The 26,189-nt window shown below is 40.7% G+C and overlaps 1 protein-coding gene across 12 annotated transcripts in view, besides 4 other annotated features; it reads right to left on the reverse strand.

Annotated features, from left to right (window-relative positions):
- The window catches only part of TFPI (tissue factor pathway inhibitor), a 90,206-nt gene extending 89,154 nt beyond the window's left edge, over window positions 1-1,052 (reverse strand). For all 12 annotated transcript variants that reach the window (NM_006287.6, NM_001329240.2, NM_001329241.2 and 9 more), the window contains exon 1: window positions 817-1,052. The gene's annotated coding sequence lies outside the window, so the exon portion shown is untranslated. The remainder of the gene's footprint in view (window positions 1-816) is intronic.
- Window positions 4,094-4,678: an enhancer, noted in NCBI's record as "NANOG hESC enhancer chr2:188422204-188422788 (GRCh37/hg19 assembly coordinates)". NCBI's record gives its function as "activates a minimal SCP1, AML or CMV promoter by ChIP-STARR-seq in primed H9 embryonic stem cells {active_cell/tissue: H9 hESC(primed)}" and the evidence as "EXISTENCE:reporter gene assay evidence [ECO:0000049][PMID:30033119]".
- Window positions 4,679-5,261: an enhancer, noted in NCBI's record as "NANOG hESC enhancer chr2:188422789-188423371 (GRCh37/hg19 assembly coordinates)". NCBI's record gives its function as "activates a minimal SCP1, AML or CMV promoter by ChIP-STARR-seq in primed H9 embryonic stem cells {active_cell/tissue: H9 hESC(primed)}" and the evidence as "EXISTENCE:reporter gene assay evidence [ECO:0000049][PMID:30033119]".
- Window positions 12,218-12,796: an enhancer, noted in NCBI's record as "OCT4-NANOG-H3K27ac hESC enhancer chr2:188430328-188430906 (GRCh37/hg19 assembly coordinates)". NCBI's record gives its function as "activates a minimal SCP1, AML or CMV promoter by ChIP-STARR-seq in naive and primed H9 embryonic stem cells {active_cell/tissue: H9 hESC(naive and primed)}" and the evidence as "EXISTENCE:reporter gene assay evidence [ECO:0000049][PMID:30033119]".
- Window positions 12,797-13,374: an enhancer, noted in NCBI's record as "OCT4-NANOG-H3K27ac hESC enhancer chr2:188430907-188431484 (GRCh37/hg19 assembly coordinates)". NCBI's record gives its function as "activates a minimal SCP1, AML or CMV promoter by ChIP-STARR-seq in primed H9 embryonic stem cells {active_cell/tissue: H9 hESC(primed)}" and the evidence as "EXISTENCE:reporter gene assay evidence [ECO:0000049][PMID:30033119]".

A 26,189-nucleotide genomic window follows, 5' to 3' on the forward strand; every position in this document is an offset into this window, starting at 1 on the left:
GTAGTACTCTTGGCCCTTATTTTTGGTAATTATTTTATACTAATGAGTGCTTTTTCATAATTAAATAATTGTTTCTCTCATTATATTTCTGTGGTTGTTTACTGCTGTATTATATGCTTTCATTTTTCACTAGAAGCAAACATTTTATAACAGGAACATAACAGTACATCATGTAGGCATGTTATCTATTGTTTTAATTTACAAAATTGCACAACATAGACTTGATCGTAAGTATTCTCGTTTAAGTATCTCAGAATATGACCTTTGGTCTTTGGAGAATTGTAAAATATTTCCTTAGAGAGATTAGTTAATGCTGGCATAAAATATTCCATTTAGATTACGATTATTTTAATGGTTATACCTCATTTTAAATATCATCAACTAATAGTATTGAAAGATTATTTGAATAGAAGAATAACAGTCTCTATTTTATATGTTATGAAATAAAATGGAAAGGTAAACCGAACTTTCAAGAACTTCCAATTAACCAAGCACAATTAGTAAAGAATTCTACTACAATCTTCAAATTATAAAAAAGCTACATACACCAATTAGTTACAAAAATGTTTATGGTTTAAAATCATAAAAATTGCACATAAATTTGCTTAAGAACTAAATGCAAAATGCTGAGAACTCAAGTTTGGATTGCAGTTTGAGTTTACTCTGTTTACAGGGAAGGGCTGATTTTCATTTTACGCAAATAAACAGTGATCCTCCCCTATCAGTTCTTTGCCTCTCAGCACCCTGCTTTTCCCCCGAGAAAAAGAAATTAAAGTTATTTCTTATGGGCTAGACAGTATATTGCCAGGTACTCACAAGTAAAATCTCTGATGAAAGTTCTTGGAATGTTTTTTTCAAAACGGAGTTGAGGTTATTTTGTTTTTCCTTCCAGGTATTGAAGACAGGATTTATCTTCTCTACTTCTTCTTTTAGAAGCAGATCAAGAAACTGGCGATTGAAGAGTAACTGAAAGAAACGCAATCTGATCTTACTAGCAGTGAAAGAGCGAGGTAAGAATTTGACTATTATCCAGCCTAAAGTCGCTGCTGTCTGTTAGAGCAAAGAGGGAGCCTCAGAGTCGGCTTCAGAGATCACTGGCAGTTGGGAATAGCCCAACTTCCTGTTTAGGTCACTGCAACTCTGACTCTATTTAGTCTAAACCTCTTTTTTCTTTCTTTCTTTCTTTTTTTTAGTGGAGGAAACAGATGAAGGAAACAGCTTACACCAAGATTTCAGATACGATCATTTTGAATAGCTATTTCCTTTACTTTCCAGGATTGTTTTTGTAATCAGTTGAAAAAGAATGCTTTTTTCCCCCTAGAGTTAGGGTTTAAAAAATTACATATTTATTATTACACTGTTAATAAGCTTTTTTGCAGTTTGTTTCTTCTTCAAGTTATTTCATTTGTTTCACCCACTGTCAATGTATTTATTTTTTTTAAAAGTCTGAGGGCTACCGTTGGAGGTCTCTCTTAGTGAGACAATGTAATGCATTATCTATTGCAGGTGTCAGGCTTTGAGCCCTACCTTAGCTACTTGCTAACTTGGCTACTCAGCCCAGTTATTTGAATTCACTATGCCTCAGTTCCTTTGTTCCTAAAATGTCGATAATAAAAGTTTCTGGGCTTGATGTAAGTACTAAATGGCTTAATACATAAAAAGTACTTAAGGCAGGACCCAGCATGTAGCAAACCTCCAATAATTGTTGGCTATCATTATCGCTGTTTTCTGTATTTCTATTATTATTATTCTACAAAATATGTAAATATTTACAGATGTCAACCAGAGTCTCTGCTGTATGTCCCTATCATTGAGGTTCATCCGTACTGTCTCTGTATTGGAATTATGGTCATATCAGACTAAGATCACTAGAGATCTAATAAATGGGCAGAATCTACTTTGCCAGGAAGGCTGAAGACATTTGGTCAGAAAATGTAGGAGTTTCTTGCTTCTGCATCTCAGATTCTTTGTGCCTTCAATTTTTCTTGCTTTCCTTAGACCTCTCTGTAAAAGGTAACCTTTCATCTTGAGTGTTTTTAATACATATTGAATAATTATTTGGTGGTGACTGGAACATAAATTATCGATTTAATTCTCACAACTAGCTTATAAAGAAGGTCCTCTTTGTATGCCCATTTCACATGTCTAGGAAGATCGAGTTCAGTATGTGGAGCTGTGATTCTAATGTCATGCAGTCTGCCTTTAGAGCAAAAATGCATAAATCCTCCTCCATGCTGCCTTCTCACTCATGTTCTGGATTTCATATCATGTTAATAACTTATCTCCTATTACCTCATGCCCTGCCCCTCAACCACAATCAAAGCTATCATCTCACTCAGATTGTAGAGGAAAGTCCTTTTTTCTTGGTACCACCATGGACCTTGATTAAACTTTTGAGGAATCTGTAGCTCAGGTAGAGGCAAGCTCAGCCAATCAGATTTTCTTTCTTGAAAGTTTCGCCTCTCCTCCCTCTCCCTCTCCCTCTCCCTCTCCCTCTCCGTCTCCCTCTCCCTCTCCCTCTCACGGTCTCCCTCTCCCTCTCTTTCCACAGTCTCCCTCTGATGCCGAGCAGAAGCTAGACTGTACTGCTGCCATCTCAGCTCACTGCAACCTCCCTGCCTGATTCTCCTGCCTCAGCCTGCTGAGTGCCTGCAATTGCAGGCGCGCCGCCACGCCTGACTGGTTTTCGTATTTTTTTGGTGGAGACGGGGATTCGCTGTGTTGGCCGGGCTGGTCTCCAGCTCCTAACCGCGAGTGATCCACCAGCCTCGGCCTCCTGAGGTGCCGGGATTGCAGACGGAGTCTGGTTCACTCAGTGCTCAATGGCGCCCAGACTGGAGTGCAGTGGCGTGATCTCAGCTCGCTACAACCTCCACCTCCCAGCCGCCTCCCTTGGCCTCCCAAAGTGCAGAGATTGCAGCCTCTGCCCGGCCGCCACCCCGCCTGGGAAGTGAGGAGCGTCTCTGCCTGGCCGCCCATTGTCTGGGATGTGAGGAGCCCCTCTGCCTGGCTGCCCAGTCTGGAAAGTGAGGAGTGTCTCTGCCTGGCCGCCATCCCATCTAGGAAGTGAGGAGCGCCTCTTCCCGGCCGCCATCCCATCTAGGAAGTGAGGAGCCTCTCTGCCCAGCCGCCCATCGTCTGAGATGTGGGGAGCGCCTCTGCCCCGCCGCCCCGTCTGGGATGTGAGGAGCGCCTCTACCCCGCCGCGACCCCGTCTGGGAGGTGAGGAGCGTCTCTGCCCGGCGGCCCCGTCTGGGAAGTGAGGAGACCCTCCGCCCGGCAGCCGCCCCATCTGAGAAGTGAGGAGCCCCTCTGCCCAGCAGCCACCCTGTCTGGGAAGTGAGGAGCGTCTCTGCCCAGCAGCCACCCCGTCTGGGAGGGAGGTGGGGGGTCAGCCCCCCGCCCGGCCAGCCGCCCCGTCCGGGAGGTGAGGGGCGCCTCTGCCCGGCGGCCCCTACTGGGAAGTGAGGAGCCCCTCTGCCCGGCCAGCCGCCCCGTCTGGGAAGTGAGGAGCGTCTCCGCCCAGCAGCCACCCCGTCCGGGAGGGAGGTGGGGGGATCAGCCCCCCGCCCGGCCAGCCGCCCAGTCCGGGAGGGAGGTGGGGGGGTCAGCCCCCCGCCCGGCCAGCCGCCCCGTCCGGGAGGTGAGGGGTGCCTCTGCCCGGCCGCCCCTACTGGGAAGTGAGGAGCCCCTCTGCCCGGCCAGCCGCCCGGTCCGGGAGGGAGGTGGGGGGGTCAGCCCCCTGCCTGGCAAGCCGCCCCGTCTGGGAGGGAGGTGGGGGGATCAGCCCCCCGCCGGGCCAGCCACCCCGTCCGGGAGGTGAGGGGTGCCTCTGCCCGGCCGCCCCTACTGGGAAGTGAGGAGCCCCTCTGCCCGGCCAGCCGCCCCATCCGGGAGTGAGGTGGGGGGGTCAGCCCCCTGCCCGGCCAGCCGCCCCGTCCGGGAGGTGAGGGGCGCCTCTGCCCGGCCGCCCCTACTGGGAAGTGAGGAGCCCCTCTGCCCGGCCACCACCCCGTCTGGGAGGTGTACCCAACAGCTCATTGAGAACGGGCCATGATGACAATGGCGGTTTTGTGGAATAGAAAGCGGGGAAAGGTGGGGAAAAGATTGAGAAATCGGATGGTTGCCGTGTCTGTGTAGAAAGAGGTAGACATGGGAGACTTTTCATTTTGTTCTGTACTAAGAAAAATTCTTATCCTGTTGATCTGTGACCTTACCCCCAACCCCGTGCTCTCTGAAACATGTGCTGTGTCCACTCAGGGCTAAATGGATTAAGGGCGGTGCAAGATGTGCTTTGTTAAACAGATGCTTGAAGGCAGCATGCTCGTTGAGAGTCATCACCACTCCCTAATCTCAAGTAACCAGGGACACAAACACTGTGGAAGGCCGCAGGGTCCTCTGCCTAGGAAAACCAGAGACCTTTGTTCACTTGTTTATCTGCTGACCTTCCCTCCACTATTGTCCTATGACCCTGCCAAATCCCCCTCTGCGAGAAACACCCAAGAATGATCAATAAAAAAATAAAATAAAATAAAATAAAATAAAATAAATAAAGTTTCATGCGCATCCGTGTGAAGAGACCACCAAACAGGCTTTGTGTGAGCAGCATGGCTGTTTATTTCACCTGGGTGCAGGCGGGCTGAGTCCGAAAAGAGAGTCAGCCAAGGGAGATAAGGGTGGGGCTGTTTTATAGGATTTGGGTAGGTAAAGGAAAATTACAGTCAAAGGGGGTTTGTTCTCTGGCGGGCAGGAGTGGGGGCCGCAAGGTGCTCAGTGGGGGTGCTTTGAGCCAGGATGAGCCAGGAAAAGGAGTTTCACAAGGTAATGTCATCAGTTAAGGCAAGGACCGGCCATTTACACTTCTTTTGTGGTGGAATGTCATCATTAAGGTGGTGCAGGGCATATTCACTTCTTTTGTGATTCTTCAGTTACTTCAGGCCATCTGGGCATATACGTGCAGGTCACAGGGGATGCATGGCTTGGCTTGGGCTCAGAGGCCTGACACTCCTGCCTTCTTATATTAATAAGAAAAATAAAACAAAATAGTGTTGAAGTGTTGGGGCAGTGAAAATTTTTGGGGGGTGATATGGCGAGAGAATGGGTGATGTTTATCAGGGCTGCTTCAAGCGGGATTAGGGGCGGCGTGGGAACCTAGAGTGGGAGAGATTAAGCTGAAGGGAGGTCTTGTGGTAAGGGGTGATATTGTGGGGATGTTAGAAGAAACATTTGTCGTATAGAATGATTGGTGATGGCCTGGATACGGTTTTGGATGAATTGAGAAACTAAATGGAAGATACAAGGTCTGAATAAAAGAAGGAGAAAAATGGGTATTAAAGGACTAAGAATTGGGAGGACCCAGGACATCCAATTAGAGAGTGCCCAAGGGGGTTCAGCGTAATTACTTGCTTGGTTGGCAAGTTTTGGGGCTCTATCCTTGAGTTTTTTTATGTTGTCATACACCAGGCCAGATTGATTTAGGTAAAAACAACACTCCTCATTTATGAATATGCAGTCCTCCTTTTTCAGCAGTGAGTAAGTCAAGGCCTTGGCGGTTCTGGAGGACAACTGCAGCTAAAGAGTCAACTTGGGCCTGGAGGACTGATAAAGTTTGTGATATGTGTGTGATGCTAGCAGAGAAGTCATGAGACAGGCTACGGAAGGTCGTGACAGAGGTTGAAATGCCTGCTATTCCAGTACCGAGAGCAATAGTGGAGGCAGAAAGTCCTAAACCGACCATCAAGGGAATTAGTGGAATAACTCTTTTTTGTCGTGTCGGTGTCATGAGGGGAACAGGGAGCTCTTCGGTCCCATTTGCAAATTGAATTTTGGGGGTAAGGAAGACTAGTGTACATGTGCCTGTCCAATTAGCAGGTAGACACATGTAGGTAGAGGATCCACAGAGGAAGAAGAGACCTTGTGTGAGGCAAAACTGGAGATGTAAAGTAAAAAGATGAGAAGGAGTGCTGAAAGGGGTGTCTTGTACCCAGACTCCTAGGAATCCAGCTAGGGCGGCAGCTGTCAGAGGTTGTAATGGGGACTGATGGGGTAACTGCATAGAGGGGGAGGTTCGATTTTCATGGTGTATGAGAAAACGTTGAGTATCTATGAACAACCTTTCACTGTTATTTTCGGGGCTGGGTATAAGTAAACAAGAAGAGGGCCTGGGAGAAGAGTCTGATGAGCAAGGGGAAGGTAGCCAAGGATGGAGTGAAATACAGGGCAAGTGTCTTCCTAAGCAATAATTACTGCTAATGTTTTTAAGTTTGTCAGTATTGATAGAGGGCTTCTCTGTAATATGGAGCTGGAAGTCTCCAATTGTTTCAGTGATGTGTGTAGTTGGACTTCAGAGATGAAAAGTAAAGGAACATCGAGAAGGTGAAAGATTACCTAGGGGAATTCCAGTGGGTCTTTGCCGAGAGATACATAAAGGAGCGGCAACTGGAATAGTAGTTTGTGTAGTGAGAGGTCCAAATATGGGGGAAGTAGAGTTAATATAAGGAGAAAGGTTTTTTAAATAAGTGCGAAGGAGGGCGGCAGCTTGCTGATGTGAAATGTCTGGGGAAGTCTTGCTGGACCTGTCTAGAAAGTAAATGAATTCTTCAGGAGGGTAAAGGTGAGGGCTGTTAAAGGAAGTTCGGAGGTGTAGGGAGACAGGAGATACTGCCCAGTCTGTCTGTAAGGCGGAGACAGCTGTGTAGGCACTGGAAGAAAGGGAAATGCAAAGCCAGCAGTTGTTCGCTAAGGAGGGATTAGAAGCAGCTAGGAGAGGATGGGTAAGGTTGACAGTGTGGTGGAGATAGCTGGGGAGAGGTAGAGGGTGACATAAGAATGGGAATGAGAATAAGAGTGAGTATAAAAGTAAAGAATAGAACTTCATCAGGGTGGAAGTATTGGAGGGTGCCTTGCCAGCAAAGATCATCTATCCACTCTAAGAGGGAGTTAAGAGTGGCAGTTTGGGGATAGCACCAAGAGATATCAGCTGTGATGGCTTGAAGAAGCAGTGTAAACCGGCGGTGTAAACAAGAGTAGGCCATTTATAAGTGGTTGAGAATGGAGAATAGGAGTATGATCTGACAGAAGATAGTAGGGATGACTAGTTTTTTGGGGCTCGGCCTAAGTGGTGGGGGTGACTTCGTAAAGCCCTGTTGCAAAAAGTAGGGTAAGGACGAACAGATCGAATAGAATGAAGGGATATATTAGGCTCATAAGGGTTATTACTGTTCTTCAGAAATACGAGTGAGTTTAAGGGAAGTGGGGGAGAGTACTTGCGACTTCCAGGAGGAAGAGGAAGGGATTAGGCTGGCTGTCCGATGGACACAGCTTTATTCTGGAACAGTGAACCCAGTGGGGAGGATCCTGCAGGCGGACGGCAGTCGGGGTACTATAGATGACTAAGTAGGGTCCGGTCCATCGAGGTTGTAGAGTTTGAGGGGTCAGATTCTTAACAAGAACTGATCGTCCAGCTAGGTTGTCTTCATATGGCTGGGGATCTGGAGTAGGCAAGAGAAGATTAGCAGCCTGGCAAATTTCCTGTCTAGCCTGCTGGAGGACTGGAAGATAGTCGCCTAGAGGGCTGGTGTCTGTGATGGGGTTGGGGCCAAGCAAGAAAGTGCGTCCATACAAAAGTTCAAATGGACTGTACCCTGTAGCATCTCGAGGACAGGCTCTGATTCTGAGAAGAGCAAGAGGTAAAAGTACTGTCCAATCCTTTTTAAGTTGGAGGCTGAGATTGGTGAGGTGTGCCTTTAAAAGACCATTAGTCTGTTCTACCTTTCCTGAAGATTGAGGATGGTAAGGGATATGAAGGTTCCACTGAATACCAAGATCCTGAGAAATTGCTTGGGTGATTTGGCTAGTAAAGGCTGGTCCGTTATCAGACTGTATAGAGGTGGGAAAGCCAAACCGAGGAATTATGTCTGACAGAAGGGAAGAAATGACCGCAGTGACCTTCTCAGACCCTGTGGGGAAGGCCTCTACCCATCCAGTGAAAGTGTCTACCCAGACTAAGAGATATTTTAGTTTTCTAACTCGAGGCATGTGAGTAAAGTCAATTTGCCAATCCTCGGCAGGGGCAAATCCCCGAGCTTGATGTGTAGGAAAGGGAGGAGGCCCGAACAATCCCTGAGGGATAATAGTAGAATAGCAGATGGAACACTGAGAAGTGATCTCCTTGAGGATAGATTTCCATGATGGAAAGGAAATGAGAGGTTCTAACAGTCGGGCTAGCGGCTTGTAACCTACATGGAAGAGGTTATGAAATGACGACAGAATAGAATGGGCCTGTGAGGCTGGAAGAAGGTATTTTCCTTGGTCTAAGAACCATTTGCCTTGTGTGGGAAGAGATTGATAGGTGGAAGTTTCAGTGGGGGAATAGGTGGGAGTGACTGAAGTGAAGGAGAAAAACTGGCCATGAGGGACAGAAGTTGGAGAGCTAGCTGCTTGTCTAGCCACCTTGTCAGCATAAGCATTGGCTAGAGCAATGGAATCTGATGCCTTTTGATGCCCCTTGCAGTGAATGACCCCAGCTTCTTTTGGAAGTAAAGCAGCCTTGAGCAGAGTTTTTATTAAAGAGGCATTAATGATGGAGGACCCTTGTGTAGTGAGGAAACTTCTTTCAGCCCATATGACTGCATGGTGGTGCAGAATATGAAAGGCATATTTAGAATCAGTATAGATATTGATGTGTAGTCCTTTTGCAATAGTGAAGGCTTGAGTTAAGGCAACTAGTTCGGCTTGCTGAGAGGTAGTGGAGGGAGGCAGAGCGGTAGCCTCAATGATAGATGTGGAAGATACTATAGCATAGCCTGCCTTTGCTGGTGAGTAGCGATTAGGCCTGGTGGAACTGCCATCAATAAACCAAGTGTGATCAGTGTGAGAAACAGGGAAGAAGGAAATGTAGGGAAATGGGGTGAACATCAGGTGGATCAGAGAGATGCAGTCATGACGGTCAGGTGTGGTATCCAGAATAATGTGGGAGGCCGGATTGAAGTCCGGGCCAGGAACAATGGTAATTGTGGGAGACTCAACAAAGAGTGAGTACAGCTGAAGGAGCCGGGGAGCAGAAAGTATATGTGTCAGGTGTGAGGAAGAAAATAGATTTTGGAAATTATGAGAGCTATAGAGAGTGAGATGAGCATAGTTTGTGATTTTGAGGGCCTCTAAAAGTATTAAAGCAGCGGCAGCCACTGCACGGAGACACGAGGGCTAGGCTAAAACAGTAAGGTCAAGTTGTTTGGACAGAAAGGCTACAGGGTGCGGTCCTGGCTCTTGTGTAAGAATTCTGACCGTACTAACCATGCCTAGGAAGGCAAGGAGTTGTTCTTTTGTAAGGGATTGAGGTTTGGGAGATTAGTCGGACACGATCAGCAGGGAGAGCACGTGTGTTTTTACGAGAATTATGCCGAGATAGGTAACAGATGAGGATGAAATTTGGGCTTGACTGAAGTAATGGGGGCTGTCTGTGAAGCCTTGCGGCAGTACAGCCCAGGTAATTTGCTGAGCCTAATGGGTGTCAGGGTCAGTCCAAGTGAAAGCCAAGAGAGGCTGGGATGACGGGTGCAAAGGAATAGTAAAGAAAGCACGTTTGAGATCCAGAACAGAATAATGGATTGTGGAGGGAGGTATTGAGGATAGGAGAGTATATGGGTTTGGCACCACGGGGTGGATAGGCAAAACAATTTGATTGATAAGGCGCAGATCCTGAACTAACTTGTAAGGCTTGTCTGGTTTTAGGACAGGTAAAATGGGGGAATTGTAAGGAGAGTTTATAGGCTTTAAAAGGCCATGCTGTAGCAGACGAGTGATAACAGGCTTTAATCTTTTTAAAGCGGGCTGCGGGATGGGATATTGGCATTGAGTGGGGTAAGGGTGATTAGGTTTTAATGAGATGGTAAGGGGTGCATGATCAGTCGCCAAGGAGGGAGTAGAGGTATCTTATACTTGTGGGTTAAGGTGGGGGGATACAAGAGGAGGACGCAAAGGAGGCTTTGGATTGGGAAGAAGGGCGGCAATGAGATATAGCGGTAGTCCAGGAATAGTCAGGGAAGCAGATAATTTAGTTAAAGTGTCTCAGCCTAATAAGGGAACTGGGCAGGTGGGGATAACTAAAAAAGAGTGCTTAAAAGAGTATTGTCTAAGTTGGCTCCAGAGTTGGGGAGTTTTAAGAGGTTTAGAAGCCTGGCCGTCAATACCCACAACAGTTATGGAGGCAAGGGAAACAGGCCCTTGAAAAGAAGGTAATGTGGAGGGGGTAGCCTCCGTATTGATTAAGAAGGGGATGGACTTACTTTCCACTGTGAGAGTTACCTAAAGCTCGGCGTCCGTGATGGTCTACGGGGGCTTCCGAGGTGATCAAGCAGCGTCAGTCTTCAGCCGCTAAGCCGAGGAGTCAGTCAGAGAGCCTTGGGCCAGAGTTCCAGGGGCTCTGGGAGTGGCTGCCAGGTGAGTTGAACAGTCCGATTTCCAGCGGGGTCCCACACAGTTGGGACACGGCTTAGGAGGAATCCTGGGCTGCAGGCATTCCTTGGCCTGGTGGCCAGATTTCTGGCACTTGTAGCAAGCTCCTGGGGGAGGAGGTTCTGGAGGAATGCCTGGCTGCTGCAGTTCAGGCATTTGGAAGTTCTTGTGTGCTGGAGATGTGGCTGGGGTTTGTCTCACAGTGGAGGCAAAGAATTGCAACTTTTTTCTATTATTGTACACCTTGAAGGCGAGGTTAATTAAATCCTGTTGTGGGGTTTGAGGGCCGGAATTTAATTTTTGGAGTTTTATTTAATGTCGGGAGCAGATTGGGTAATAAAATGTATTTTGAGAATAAGACGGCCTTTTGACCTTTTAGGGTCTAGGGCTGTAAAGTGTCTCATGGTTGCTGCCAAACAAATCATGAACTGGGCTGGATTTTTATATTTGATGAAAAAGAGCCTAAATGCTATCTGATTTGGGATAAAGAAAAAGAGCATTAACCTTGACTATGCCTTTAGCTCCAGCCACCTTTTTAAGAGTAAATTGCTGGGCAGGAGGGGGAGGGCTAGTCAGGGAATGAAACGGTAAGCCAGACCAGGTGTGAGGAGGGGGGGTGATAAAAAGATTACAGGGTGGAGGAGCAGAGGCTGAGGAAGAATTGGGACCTAGCTCGGCCTGGTGAGGAGCAGCCTGGGGAGGAAGGGAAAGGTCAGATGGGTCTGTAGAAAAGGAAGATTAGAAAGACTCAGCGATGCTTGGGGTTGGTACTGAGGGGAGAGGCGGGAGGGAAAGAAGGAAGATTTAGGACGAGTTGCACTGGGCACAGAGACTAGGAAGGGACTGATGTGTAAAAGAATGCCTAGACGTCAGGCACCTCAGACCATTTGCCTATTCTACGACAAGAATTATTTAGATCTTGCAGGATGGAAAAATTCAAAGTGCCATTTTCTGGCTATTTGGAACTACTGTCAAATTTATATTGGGGTCAAGCGGCATTGCAGAAGAAAATAAGGCATTTAGGTTTTAGGTCAGGTGTGAGTTGAAGAGGTTTTAAGTTTTTGAGAACACAGGACAAAGGAGTAGAAGGAGGAATGGAGGGTGGAAGGTTGCCCATAGTGAAGGAAGCCTAGAGAAAAGAGAGAGTAGAGAAAAGGAGGGAAGGGGTTCGGAGGTTCTTACCTTCCAGAAAAGTGGGAAAAGGGGTTGGGGCACAGAGATTAGAGGTCGGGGCACGGAAATAAGGGATGGGGTGCAGAAATAAGGGGTCGGGGCAAGGAAATAAGGGGTCGGGGCATGGAAATAAGGGGTCGGGGCACGGAAATAAGGGGTCGGGGCACGGAAATAAGGGGTCGGGGCACGGAAATAAGGGATTGGGGCGCAGAGATAAGAGGTCGGGGTGCGGAAATAAGGGATTGGGGCGCAGAGATATAAGAGGTTGGGGCACGGAAATAAGGGATTGGGGCGTGGAAATAAGGGATTGGGGCACAGAGATAAGAGGTTGGGGTGCAGAAATAAGGGATTGGGGGTTCTTGCCCTGTAGAGTTTTGGGTCCACCGATAAAACGTGTCTCCTTTGTCTCTACCAGAAAATGAAAGGAATTGAAATTAAGAGAAGGGGGAGATTGAAGTGTGGCGCCAAGATTGAAAGGAGAAAGAGGTTGAGGGATAGTGAGGGAGGTTGGAGAAGAGAGTAAAAAGAGGCCGCTTACCGGATTTGAAATTGGTGAGATGTTTCTTGGGCTGGTTGGTCTGAGGACCTGAGGTCGTAGGTGGATCTTTCTCACGGAGCAAAGAACAAGAGGACAGGGGATTGATCTCCCAAGGGAGGTCCCCCGATCCGAGTCACGGCACCAAATTTCACGCGCGTCCATGTGAAGAGACCACCAAACAGGCTTTGTGTTAGCGACATGACTGTTTATTTCACCTGGGTGCAGGTGGGCTGAGTTGGAAAAGAGAGTCAGCCAAGGGAGATAAGGGTGGGGCCGTTTTATAGGATTTGGGTAGGTAAAGGAAAATTACAGTCAAAGGGGGTTTGTTCTCTGGCGGGCAGGAGTGGGGGCTGCAAGGTGCTCAGTGGGGGTGCTTTTTGAGCCAGGATGAGCCAGGAAAAGGACTTTCACAAGGTAATGTCATCAGTTAAGGCAAGGACCGGCCATTTACACTTCTTTTGTGGTGGAATGTCATCAGTTAAGGTGGGGCAGGGCATATTCACTTCTTTTGTGATTCTTCAGTTACTTCAGGCCATCTGGGCGTATATGTGCAGGTCACAGGGGATGCGATGGCTTGGCTTGGGCTCAGAGGCCTGACAGAAAGCATAAAATGAGAACTATAGAAAAAGTACATAGTGTAGAAATAAAATAAAATTTCAGGACTATCTAAATTTAGTATGTCAAGGAAAAAAATTAAGCCCTGGAGACTCTCACGTAGCATATTTGCAATTCTGCCCTTAGATTGTAGATTGGCTCTCTTCCTGATTGTTCTTGTTCTAAAAATGACTAGCAGAGACCAGATATCAGACCTTCCCCTACTTCCAAGTACTCATCTTTGTTATAGATTAACTGCCTCCTTTATTGTCTGGTACCTAATTCAGACCAGATGGCACCCAAGACCCCATGACTGTTACATCTTCAGTGTGGAATGTTAAATATACCTTTCCCAAAACAAAAGCACCACCTGGACCAATCAGCTAATTGTAACTATGCCATTAAGGCTTATGAAGAAAGATGCTGAAATTTTGTTAAGCTCCCCTAAACTTTGTCTCTATAAGTGATCCCAAACTTCTATACTTCTGAACTCTGACTTCCATTCTTTGGAATCTGTCCTTCCTGAACAGCTTGTCCTCAAACTTTGTGGACAAGAGAATAAACTCTCTTTAAATTCGCTTCTGACTCTTTTAGTTATTTTAGGTTGATAACAGTAAATGTCAGGCTCTTAACTAAAAGGCCAGATAGAGGAAGGGCTAATAGCCACAATGTCTGTGTGCAAGATGGTTATGTGGTGAAAGTTAGTTGATAGGATATTGAGGAACAGAATAAAGGAAAGAGAATAGGTAACTTCTAAGAGAGAACCAGGGAAAGAATGAAAGCAAGAGCAAGAGTGAGCAAATGATGTGAGCATGATGCCTGAGCTCTACAGTGGCAGTACATGCCCAGGCCTAGCTCAAGTTTTCTGAAGTACTCAGGAACATGCATCCTTGCAATAAACCCCTTTTTGTCCTAAAGTCATTTAAAAATGTTTTTCTTAAAATGTTAAGAACCCTATCTGAAAGAGCCATAGCTGAGTGGTTTTATGTTTTTTTTTAACACCAGAGATTATAAATTTCATAGTTAAGCTGTGCTTGGCATCAGTGAAAACTTCTCATCATTTTTAAAAATGTAACTTACAAAACCTTCAGTATTCTTGTGCTAAAGAGAATGTGAGAACTTGATGTTATGATATTGTTAAGTCAGCCTGATGCTGTAACTATGGACCCTGTAGACTCAGCTCCTCCCTCCCAAAGGCTTGTGCAAGATCCTTGCTGTGCTTTTTTTTTTTTTTTTTTGCTAGTTTACCATTTCATTGTGCATAACTCTAAGTCTAATTTATTTGGATAAAACAAATATTCTCGCCAACAATTTGCCTATCTGCCTTTGTATCTTAAACCTCTCTGTATCTAATAAGTTTCTGTATCTTTTGTATCTTTTCATTTCTCACCATGTTTTGTTGTTTTTTCTTTCCAACTCATACATGTCAAATAATGTTCTCAGCTCTTACTATAAGCTTTAATATTTCTTGACTGAGATAAAAAATAATCCTTTTTTCCTTTACTTGCTCTATCTATCAGGAGACATTTCCTAACTTTATCCTTTAAGAATGTTGGGTATTAAAACATATCTGATGTTTCAATAAGTTCAGGTAATTCTAACTGATCATGGTGAGAAGGTTACACATTGTTGCAGGATAGAAAACACTAAGATGTTAAAACTTCAGATTAAACAGAAGTTTTGATAAATATCCAAAAAATTAAATTTTATCACATCAAATATTCATTTCATGCTTTTTTGTCTACTTTAAAGTGGGTAAATATTAGATATTCAATTATTTCATATTTTAAACAATTACTTTTCATACAAAATGTGATTGCAAAGATGTTAAACTGGATTGGGTGAAGGGTGAGTCCTTGAGCTTCACTCTTCATTCCAGTCTTCATCCTTATATGTAGAATCTAAGCCATATACTGTTTTTAGTTCACTTTTTCTGAAAATGGATTTCTGAAAACAGATCAGCAAATGAAAACAATGGATATTATCAGATTTCAGATGTAAAAAAGAATGGCCTCTAGGCTATATCAGATTATATTTATTAAAACTCTATGTAATAGGTAAGACACATGCAAATATGATTTTAAACATGCCTCTGTATTTATTTAATCATTACTGAAATGTATTTAGCTCTTAAGTCCCTGTGTTTCCTGATGTGGAAAGTGCAGTCTTGCTTTTTCTAGGTAATTTATTACTAGCTAAATTATCAGTTAAAATTTGGTCACTTTGGAGAAAATCTAGGCAATTCAGATGTGTCCTGCTCTCATTCCTTCCCTTCTCCTGAGAGCACCTGAACCTTTGGGAGTGACTGGGAAAGGCCCCTGGTCCATTTTCTCCTCTCTGTCCTGACTACCCTCTGCTAAGAGGGCTTTTATAGCTTGGTTGTGTCTATTACAGACAAGATTTAAAATTAAAAATACGTTCTCACTTCAAATCATAGTTCTTGCAATTTAGAGCCTTGCCTTTCAAGAAAATCTTCTTTCCTGTGGGTTGAAACAGTCATTCGGCAAGTCACATGAAGTTCTTTTTGCTCTTTATCTGCCAGGGATAAAGGGTAAGGACAAAAAGAAATGGAAAAACATATCATGTGGCAAATCAAAATACTACCAACTATAGTCCAGCCACCTTATTTTTAGCTAAATTTAATATCATGTTCATTTTAACAATAGTTGATACTTAATATTAAGTACATTATGCAATTATCTGCATGATTAATTTCTCTTTAGATAGTTGTTTCAACCATTAAGTATCTCAATTTTTCATATTTCTTAAGAATTTTAAAAAATCCGTCTCACAGGGAATGAGGGACAATTAGATACATGTGAAGGAGAAGAGACATACTTAGCTTCTTTTCCTACTCCTTTCTCTGGTAGATTATATTATTTTTTCAAACATACATATTTGCTTCCCCTCCCTTTTGCTCCCTCTTTGGAAACCAGTGAAAAAAGAATATTTCTCTCCTCTCGAACATAAGATTTTGCTACATTACTGGCTTTGGCAAATACAATGAGCAGAAATATATGTACACAACAGCTGGGTAGAATTTTTATGAGCTTCATGACAAGTTTATGAGTTTTATGTTCTATATTTTTTTCCATTGTTTCTGCCAGATGATTGTTATGTTTGAGATAAGGGCTATTCTTTCATGATCATAATAAAGAGGAAAAGAAGCACAAACATAGATGACCCACAAAGGTGATTGAAAATGAACCCTTTGTTGGTAAAAGCTCTGTACATTTGGGAGTAATTTGCTAACAAGCATAAGTTAGGCAGAAATGATCAATACACTATCTTGACTGCATGCATATAATGACATTATGTAACCCTGAACCACTGGACTAAATTGGACTGCTAGACCCCACGTCTTCCATCTCCCTGTGCCCCATCTTCTTCCTACACATTCCTTGCAGCATATGAAGTAATTTAGGGGAGAATCCTTTCCTGAATTTACCTATGGTAAGCAGCAGCCTTCAACAATTAATTAAGCAAGGATCAATTTGAAATATGTTGCAGATTAAATTATTGTTAAGCAGCCTAGTAGTAACAAAATGGTTTTCAGGAATTTTCTATTCACAAGCAAGCTGAGTCCATCTGTAGGAAAATTCCATCTTCTCAACTGGTTAAATTTTCACAATGACATCAAAATAAATACATACATGCAAAGGTTGAGTGCCAGCATTGTTGTAATTTTTGTTTGATCTATGTCATATTTATTATTAATAAGATATTTCTTGCTAAGTTGAAAATGAGAATGGTTATTGAGAAGTAGTTGTAGTATGTGGGACTATGAACCTCTAGTCATGGTTTGAGGGTTACTTAGCCCTCACAGAAAAATTTTCAAAGATGTATTAGTCATAAATTACATTAAGGTTTTCACAATAAAATATTGCTACTTATTTTTAATGTAATGTCTCACAAAGAAGAAAAAAATTTCTTCTGTGGACTGAAAAAATATTTTCTGTGTGAGATATTACATTTAAAAAATTCTAGTTTTCAGTAATCAGACATTCTTCTACATAGTATGGTGATATTATTTAGATATCACTTATATTAATGTAGTTTCTTCCGAATACTATTTCATTTATTTCTCTACCTCTTCGTGTGAGAACCTTATATCTGTATCTCTGAAATGTAAATAAAGAGGTAAATTGATATACATAAATTGATTTACTTTTTAAAGGTGCATAACAAGGGTTTCCTATATGCTTACCTCTGATAAATAAGTCCTATACAAATGACATACCCGTTATAAAAGTATCACAGACTCTTAGGTCACAATAATTGATAAAAATCATCCAGCATAAGAAAAGTAATATTCCCACTGCACTTTGCAATCTCTTGCTTTCATCTGTGGACCAAACATTAGGAGAGCCTTGTCAAAGCACAGTGTGTTCAGAGGAGTGAGTCAAAAGGCATGTTATTTAAAGGATACACATTTAGACACCTTAAAAATATATGTGCCTCAAAACAAATACGAAGCAAGCTGGGATATTTAACTTTAGGAAGAAAAAGCTTGGAAAGTGGGGAGAATATATATTCACATACTATATTACATTATTTTATATTACTTTTGCTAGAAAACTAGTATGTGGAAGAGAGTGTAAATATAATCTATTTTGCTCCAGAGAGAATTAGGTGAGTTGATAATATTGGGCACACAGATTTTAGCTTAAAATCCGGATAACTTTCTTACCAATTGTTGTTTGCAAAGATTGGATGAGCTGCCCTACAATAGGGTATGTGCTCATTCTCAGAAGTGTCAGAGAGTGGTATGTGGAAGCTGCTTAGAAGACATATTGACACTGGTGTCTTTAGTCAAGACACTTTGACTAAACTAAAAGATCTGGAGAATTATCTCCATTTTTCACAGTTCTTCTAGACCTCGCCTCCCTTGATCAATAATAAGGATAATGTAGTTACATATATAAAAACAATAATACAAATAAGCATGACAACAATAGTTAATGTTTATTGAAGGCTTACGGGGTACCAGAAATTATTCTAAGTCCTTTATGCCTTAAAATTGCTTAATTATCACAGGGCGCGGTGGCTCATGCCTGTAATCCCAGCACTTCGTGAGGCCAAGGTGGGCAGATCACAAGGTCAAGAGATTGAGACCATCCTGGCCAACATGGTGAAACCCCAACTCTACTAAAAATAAAATAAAAAAAAAATAGCTGGGCATGGTGGCGTGCACTGGTAGTTCCAGCTACTTGGGAGGCTGAGGCGGGAGAATTGCTTGAACCTGGGAGGCGGAAGTTGCAGTGAGCTGAGATACACCACTGTGCTCCAGCCTGGTGACAGAGTCAGACTCCGTCTCAAAAAAAAAAAAAAAAAGCTTAATTCTCGCAACAAACATGTGAGGTAGGTAATAGTATTTTTCCCGTTTACAGATGAAGAGAAATGATTAAATGACTTGTGTAAGTTCAAACAGCAAATAGAAAACAGTGAAATTTGAATCTTGACAGTTGGATTCTGAGCATACAGTCCTAAATACTATACCACACTACCCCTCTGTTTCAGTAGTTATGTTACCTTTTATATATTTCACTAGCCATAATAATAAATATCCATTGACCTTCTTAAATTAAAAAATTCCCAAAGCCAAATCTAGTTATTTTAAAATTATATATAATCTACAACCCAGAAATTATATCTCTAATATTCTTAAAAAAGTTGCACTCTGCATTTATGCACCAGTAAATACTAACAATGATACATGTAATATACATTTTTTATTATACTTTAAGTTCTAGGATACATGTGCAGAATATGCAGGTTGGTTACTTAGGTATACATGTGCCACAGTGGTTTGCTGCACCCATCAACCCATCATCTACATTAGGTATTTCACTTAATGCTATCCCTCCTCTAGTCCTCCACCCCGCTACAGGCCCCAGTGTGTGATGTTCCTCTCCCTGTGTCCATGTGTTCTCATTATTCAACTCTCTCTTATGAGTGAGAACATGCGGTGTTTGGTTTTCTGTTCCTGTGTTAGTTTGCTGAGAATGATGGTTTCCAGCTTCATCCATGTCCCTGCAAAGGACATGAACACATCCTTTTTTATGGCTGTGTAGTATTCCATGGTGTATATGTGCCACATTTTCTTTATCGGCTGTATCATTGACGGGCATTTGGGTTGGTTCCAAGTCTTTGCTATTGTGAATAGTGCTGCAATAAACATATGTGTGCATGTGTCTTTATAGTAGAATGATTTATAATCCTTCGGGTATATACTCAGTAATGGGGTTGCTGTGTCAAATGGTATTTTTGGTTCTAGATCCTTGAGTAATTGCCACACTGTCATCTGCAGTGGCTGAACTAACTTACACTCCCACCAACAGTGTAAAAGCATTCCTGTTTCTCCACATCCTCTCCAGCATCTGTTGTTTCTGACTGTTTAATGAGTGCGATTCTAACATGAGATGGTATCTCATTGTGGTTTTGATTTGCATTTCTCTAATGACCAGTGATAATGAGCTTTTTTTTTCATATGTTTGTTGGCCACATAAATGTCTTCTTTTTAGAAGTGTCTGTTCATATCCTTCACCCACTTTTTAATAGGGTTGTTTGTTTTTTTCTTGCAAATTTGTTTATGTTCCTTGTAGATTCTGGCAAATTGTCTCTGTTTGCAGATGACATGATTGTATATTTAGAAAAACCCATTGTCTCAGCCCAAAATTTTCTTAAGCTGATAAACAACTTGAGCAAAGTCTCAGGATACAAAATCAATGTGAAAAAATCACAAGCATTCCTATACATTAATAACAGACAAACAGAGAGCCAAATCATGAGTGAACTCCCATTCCCAATTGCTACAAAGAGAATAAAAGACCTAGGAATACAACTCACAAGAGATGTGAAGGACCTCTTCAAGGAGATCTACAAACCACTGTTCAAGGAAATAAGAGAGGACACAAATAAATGGAAAAACATTCCATGCTCATGGATAGGAAGAATTACTTTGGCCATACTGCCCCAAGTAATTTACAGATTCAATGCTATCCCCATCCAGCTACCACTGACTTTCTTTACAGAATTAGAAAAAACAAACTACTTTAAATTTCATATGGAACCAAAAAGAGCCCATAAAGCCAAGAGAATCCTAAGCAAAAAGAATAAAGCTGGAGGCATCACGTTACCTGACTTCAAACTATACTACAAGGCTACAGTAACGAAAACAGCATGGTACTGGTACCAAAAGGTATATATAGACCAATGGAACAGAACAGAGGCCTCAGAAATAACACCACACATCTTCAACCATCTGATCTTTGACAAACCTGACAAAAAAACAGCAATGGGGAAAGGATTCCCTATTTAATAAATGGTGTTGGGAAAACTGGCTAGCCATATGTAGAAAACTGAACTGGACCCTTTCCTTACACCTTATACAAAGATATGTGTAATATTTTTTATAAAATCTGAAAATTGAAAGCAATTAATTTTTTTGAACATTAAATTCAGGGGTACATATGCAGGTTTGCTATACAGGTAAATTATGTGTCATGAGTGTTTAGTGTATAGATTATTTTGTTACCCAGGTAATAAGCACAGTATCTGATAGTTTTTCACTCCCCACCTCCTTCCCAACCTCCACCTTCAAGTAGGCTCCAGTGTCTGTTGTTCCCTTCTTTGTGTCCATATGTACTTGATGTTTAGCTCCCACTTACAAATGAGAAAATGTGGTATTTGGTTTTTGTTCCTGTGTTAGTTTGCTAAGGGTAACGGCCTCCACCTCTATCCATGTCACTGCAAAGGATATGATCTGATTCTTTTTCATGGCTGCCTAGTATTCCATGGTGTATATGTACCAACCACATTTTCTTTATCCAGTCTTCTGTGGATGGGCATTTAGGTTGATCGATGTCTTTGCTATTATGAATAGTGCTGCAGTAAATGAACATGTGCATGTGTATTTGTGAAAGAATGACATAACAATTTAAAAATTAATCATTGTGGACTGAATAAATACATTTTGGTATAATCATTTGATAGAAGACTATTTGGATAAAATACAGTAATACAGTATTTAGATAAAATACAGTATACACATGACCAGGACAAAAAATAAATCAGAGTAAAAGTTAAGAACAATATCATTTACCTAATTTTAGAAATACACATAGCTATATATGCAATAAAAGGACATATAGTTACATTTTGTTGTTTGTTCTAGAAAGGAGGGGAGAGGAATGCAATAGGGAAAGACTATAAAGAATAATGTGGCCTTCAACTATACATGTAATATTTTATATATCTTATATGAAATACTAAATAATACTGTATTTTACACAAAATACTATATAATAAAATATAAATTATTACATATAACATGGAGCAATTACAATGAAAATGCTAGTATTTACTAATTGTGGATGATTGCTACTGGAATTTTGGGATATTTTCCTTTCTACTTTTCCTCGTTTTCAAATATTTAAATTAAAAATAAATTAGAACATATACAACAGAAAAATATTAGACATTTTTACAGTTCATTCTTTCCAAAATGCTTAATTTTAAAAATTATAATAACTACCTAAATGAAAGAAAAAATAACCATTTGTTATCAAGATAATATTTGTAGAAACGAATTAAAAGTCCTTCAAACATTATTTAATCTGATCATTTTTATCACATCATAAAAAGGGCAGGTATTCTTTTGCTTTTATATAATGATGTTATTCTCTTTTATAATATAGTTTCCAAAGTCAATGTACATGAAAAGTAAAAAATATCTTTCCTGGTTATCTGCATAAGATGTGATAACCAAAAAACTTCCAATGTAATAACCATGTGGAACTAACAGCACTCTTTTTCTAAATGTACTGATTTTTCTTTTCAATAGCTTTTTCTCACAAAGCAGCTGACCGTTTTTGGCAAGATTTAAGAATTTTAACCTACAGCTCTCTTTAGCTGTCTGTGCTAGGCATGCATGGCAACAAATGCCTTCTGAATTTCCCTCAAAAGAAGCTTCTTTTTGCCTGTATTTTCTCTTTCTCTTGAGGAAAGCAAACAAACTTCATTTATGCTGTGCCTTTATTTTAAAAGAAAAACCACAGAATGTGAACTATGTAAACTAAATAAATTGAAAGCTATGATAACACTGTATGTAATCTTGACATCACTTTAAGTCTTGCAACATTAAATATAAATCTTGGAACAAATTATTTTGTGGCCCAAGAGAAAGCACACAAGAGAAATTTGTTATTTCCCTTTTTGTGTATGCTTTTGTTTCCATCTGTGAAAAATGGATATTGGTTAGGGGGGACTAGCAGACTAAATTTCCTGTTTCTTCCTGCCTTTCCCCAACTCTATGTGAAAGATAAAAACTCAGAACACGGATTTCCTGCTGAGCTTGCTGCTCTATCCTTTCTGGGAATTTTCCTAATTGAGAAAAAAAGTCCAGATGGAAAAATGTAACCTCCTTTGAGAATTCAATAGGCAATTTAAAAAGTGCTCAAACATTTGTCCAATCTCTTCTCCTAGGTTCTGGCACATGCGAAATGCACCTGATAAAGAAGTGTGATTGGTCTGCTCACCATATTCTCTTTAAGCTCAGATTTAATTAAGAAAAGTAATGTTTTACTTAACACAGAATTATAAAACCATTATTCACCAAAACGATTATAAGCTATTACAAAATTTAACAAAGTAAACACACTTGATTTTCTTAACAATGCCTTAAGATAGCACACAGGATGTTTAAATAACTTTACAAGTGTTAACTCCAACTCTATAATCCTTGAGTTTAACCATTATGAGGTATTGTTTCACTGAACTTTTTAGGACTAAGAGGTTTGCAAATTAATGATCCCTTTTTCTTTGTAGTATGTAAGGGATCAGTTAATACACACAAAACCTTGGGTGAGTGAACAAAAAGAAAGAAAAGACCATGGAAAGGAGAAGCAAAACTGCTGAGAATAAATTCACAGCCTTGTCCCTGAAAATTAACCCCTGTTGTGCGCACCAGAGTTTTAGAATGTATGGATTTCATTTAGGATATCTGCCTGGACCCCCTTCAAAAAAAGTCAAACCTCAGGGGACAGTTATCTTTGCTTTTATGGTTTCTACATCTCTCAGGACCCTGTTTGCTTCTGCATTGGAATGTTAAGTCTCAGAATTTATACTTTTAACCATTCTGTGTTTTATTCTTTAATGAGCCTTTAATTGTTTTGCTTTTATTTATTTTCTATATTTTAAACTGGTTTTAGGCTTTTCATTTACTAGGCCATTTATTTTAATTATTTTGTAACACATTCTTATTCATTTAATCTTTTATTGCTTGTATTCCATTGAAAATCATTTAATATTGAATCCTGTATATAATATTTTATTTTTAACGAATTTTGTTGTTTTCAGTGTTATTTTAACTCTTAGTATTTAAGTAATTAACTTGAGTTATTTTAACTCTTAAGTATTATTATTGGTGCTGTATTAATGTATATATAATGCATGATGATCATGTATATGAATATAGCATGGTATAAACCACAGAAGTTGAGCCTTTTTTCCCTTCTACTTAATAGAGCGGCAAGCCTTCTATCCGCCTAGGATGGACTACCCATCCCTTAGCAAAAATTGTACTCAAATACTCTGTGATCACCACATTGAATAATTTCATAGGTCCAGAGACAAAATTTTAACTGTCCTGCAAGGAAGGACAGTAGCAAATTGCATAAGAAGTTTGTCTTCTCATACAAAACCATTTCATTTTGAATCTCCCAGGAAAATTACATGTAAGGATAGGTCCATTTTACTGCAATCTCCCCACCAGTATACACATTTGCTGATTTCTGTCTCTTTATGAATTGAGTTTCAGGGATAATTACTTGTGGCATAGATTATCTTATCTCTCTTATTGATTAAGAATGCTTAAGGAACTTTTGACCTCAGAAAGAATTAAGTTTACAATCTATTCCTGCTGTTTCAGACTGTATAAAGGGAACTAAGCCCTTGATGGATCCTGGCCTGAGAAAGCCTGGCTGATTAGATAAGACAATCCTGCCCAGATTTTTTCAGAGTGCACAAGACCAGCTAGTAGTCATCTTCATTCTTTCCTTGATTATAACCTCTGAGCATCACAAAAGTTTCAACTGAATTGACTTATGCAGTTTCTAGACTCTGTTCATTTCTTTAGTTGAGAACAGAATTTCATTTTAGGAAGGTTTCAGTCCTGCAAAGCAGGTACAAATGTAGCTGATTTTCTCTAATGTGTTGTCCTTCTCAGCAGTGAAATTGTATATTTGCCCTCAGGTATATTAACTTGGGCATTATTGACATTTTAGAACAGGTAATTCCTTGTTGCAGTAGGTTGCCCTGTGCACCGCAGGCTATGTAGCAGCATTGCTAGTCCCTATACACTAGATGCCAGTACACAACTGCCCCTGATGGTAACAACTGAACATGTCTCCAGAATTTGCCTAACATTCAGTGAAGAACGGAATCATTCCCAGTTGGGAACCATTGTTCCACTTTGAGCCTCACTCTGAAAACCTGACTGCATCTGGGGTGTTCTACTTAACTGTCTGTTCCTATGCTCTGTGTCTCACATTCTCCCTCTGAACTAATTATCTACCTGTGAGCTTTGGGGCTCTCAGGTAGCTTCTCAGAAAAGTTTATTTGGGTATGATATATGGCCATTCTCTCAACTGATTTTCATTTCAAATAAAATAAAATAATAAAATAAATGCCAGTAAAATAAAATACTTGATTAACTAAGAATATCTGCTAATTATGGAGAATAATAAAAGCATAAAGACAAAATTTAAATAGTACATATTATTCATATGTATTTCCCAACTATAGGCATTGTAAAACGTTATTCCATATATTCTCAGTCATGGAGAGCTCTACAGATATATGTTTCTGTTTTTTTTTTTAAATGGATTATATTTTGTCTATCAGTGTGTGGTCTGTTTTGAATGACTTCACTTTTTTTTGTATTCTAATACATTATTTTATTAGCCATGTTATTTAATTGCAAATGTTTGATTAGTTACTAAACCAACAATCTGTTGTTAGAAAGCTGCATCTTTTAAATGATTATAAAATGTCTGAATTTCATAGGCAATATATTTTAGAAGGCCTGTATCTCTGCTACCACATTGGTATTAATAATATATTTTACTTCAAAGGAATTAGGCTGGTCCCAGCTTATGAAGTCAGCCAGGTTGTAGCCACAGATCCATGGACTTCTATATTTTATTACGTAAGTGGCTACATCTTCCAATGGTAGTATGATACTATTAGAAGATTTATCTCCCAGGGAGGACAATTTAAAAGTATAGAAATGTTTACCTGGTAATATTCCCTCTAGGCTACCACAATCTCATAAAAAATTTGTAGAGGCAGAGTAGCATTGGTTGAGTATTGACTAAAGGAGTAAAGGCGCCAGACGTGGGTAAATTTATTCTAAAACAAGACTTAGACCAGAGTACAAGTTCTTCTGAGTGAGGATTGGACTAACTTCTATATATAATATGTACAGTGGTATATTAAAATGTGTCTGTATTGTATTAGAGTTCAAAGATTATGTTCATGACCATATATCTCAATGATACCAGAGTATGAGTTCAAAAGAAATTGAATACACTTTGTCTTTTTTATTCTATATTCCTTCTGATCACTTGAATTTTCAAATGTCTTCTATGAGTAACTAAGTTTGAATTTTATATATATATCATTATTATTATTTGAGAATAGAGTATCACTCTGTCACCCAGTCTGGAGTGCAGTGGCATGATCTTAGCTCACTGCATCCTCTCGGGTTCAAATGATTCTCATGCCGCAGCCTTCCGAGTAGCCGAGACCACAGGCCTGTGCCCCCACACCCAGCTAACTTTTGCATTTGTAGTAAAGATAGGGTTTCGCCATGTTGCCCGGCTGGTCTCAAACTTCTGATCTGCCTGTCTCAGCCTCCCAAAGTGCTGGGATTACAGGTGTGAGCCACCACACCTGGTCTGAATAATAATTTTTATTCAAAATATTTTTTTTGTCTTTATTAAGTATATATTTGTGTTTTCACTAATTTTTTCTAAGAGGAACCAGAAAAAAAAAAAAAAGACATTGGTCCATGCTTTTTGGAACTCTGAGGAAACATGGCTCACTAACAATCACAAAGCTAATGGTTTTGTGATTATCTATTTCCCTTTGTCTAATAATACAAGACACATCTACAAAAACAAGAATGGTTAGCAGACAGAGAGTTTGACTGATTTTTGGTAAGAATCATAAAAATATTGCTAACAGATAATCTCTATTTTAGACATTTGAAAATAATTTCCTGTAAGTTTATAAACATTTTATTAAAATATTTTTACTTACAAGTTTCTTAGAAAAAACTTTAAAAAGTATGAAAAAATAGCACATATACATATCACATAGACATATTTATTAAGCACCAACTATATGACAAATACCGTTCAAGGAT

This window comes from Homo sapiens, chromosome 2 (assembly GCF_000001405.40).
Source record: "Homo sapiens chromosome 2, GRCh38.p14 Primary Assembly".
Taxonomy (NCBI): Eukaryota; Metazoa; Chordata; class Mammalia; order Primates; family Hominidae; genus Homo; species Homo sapiens.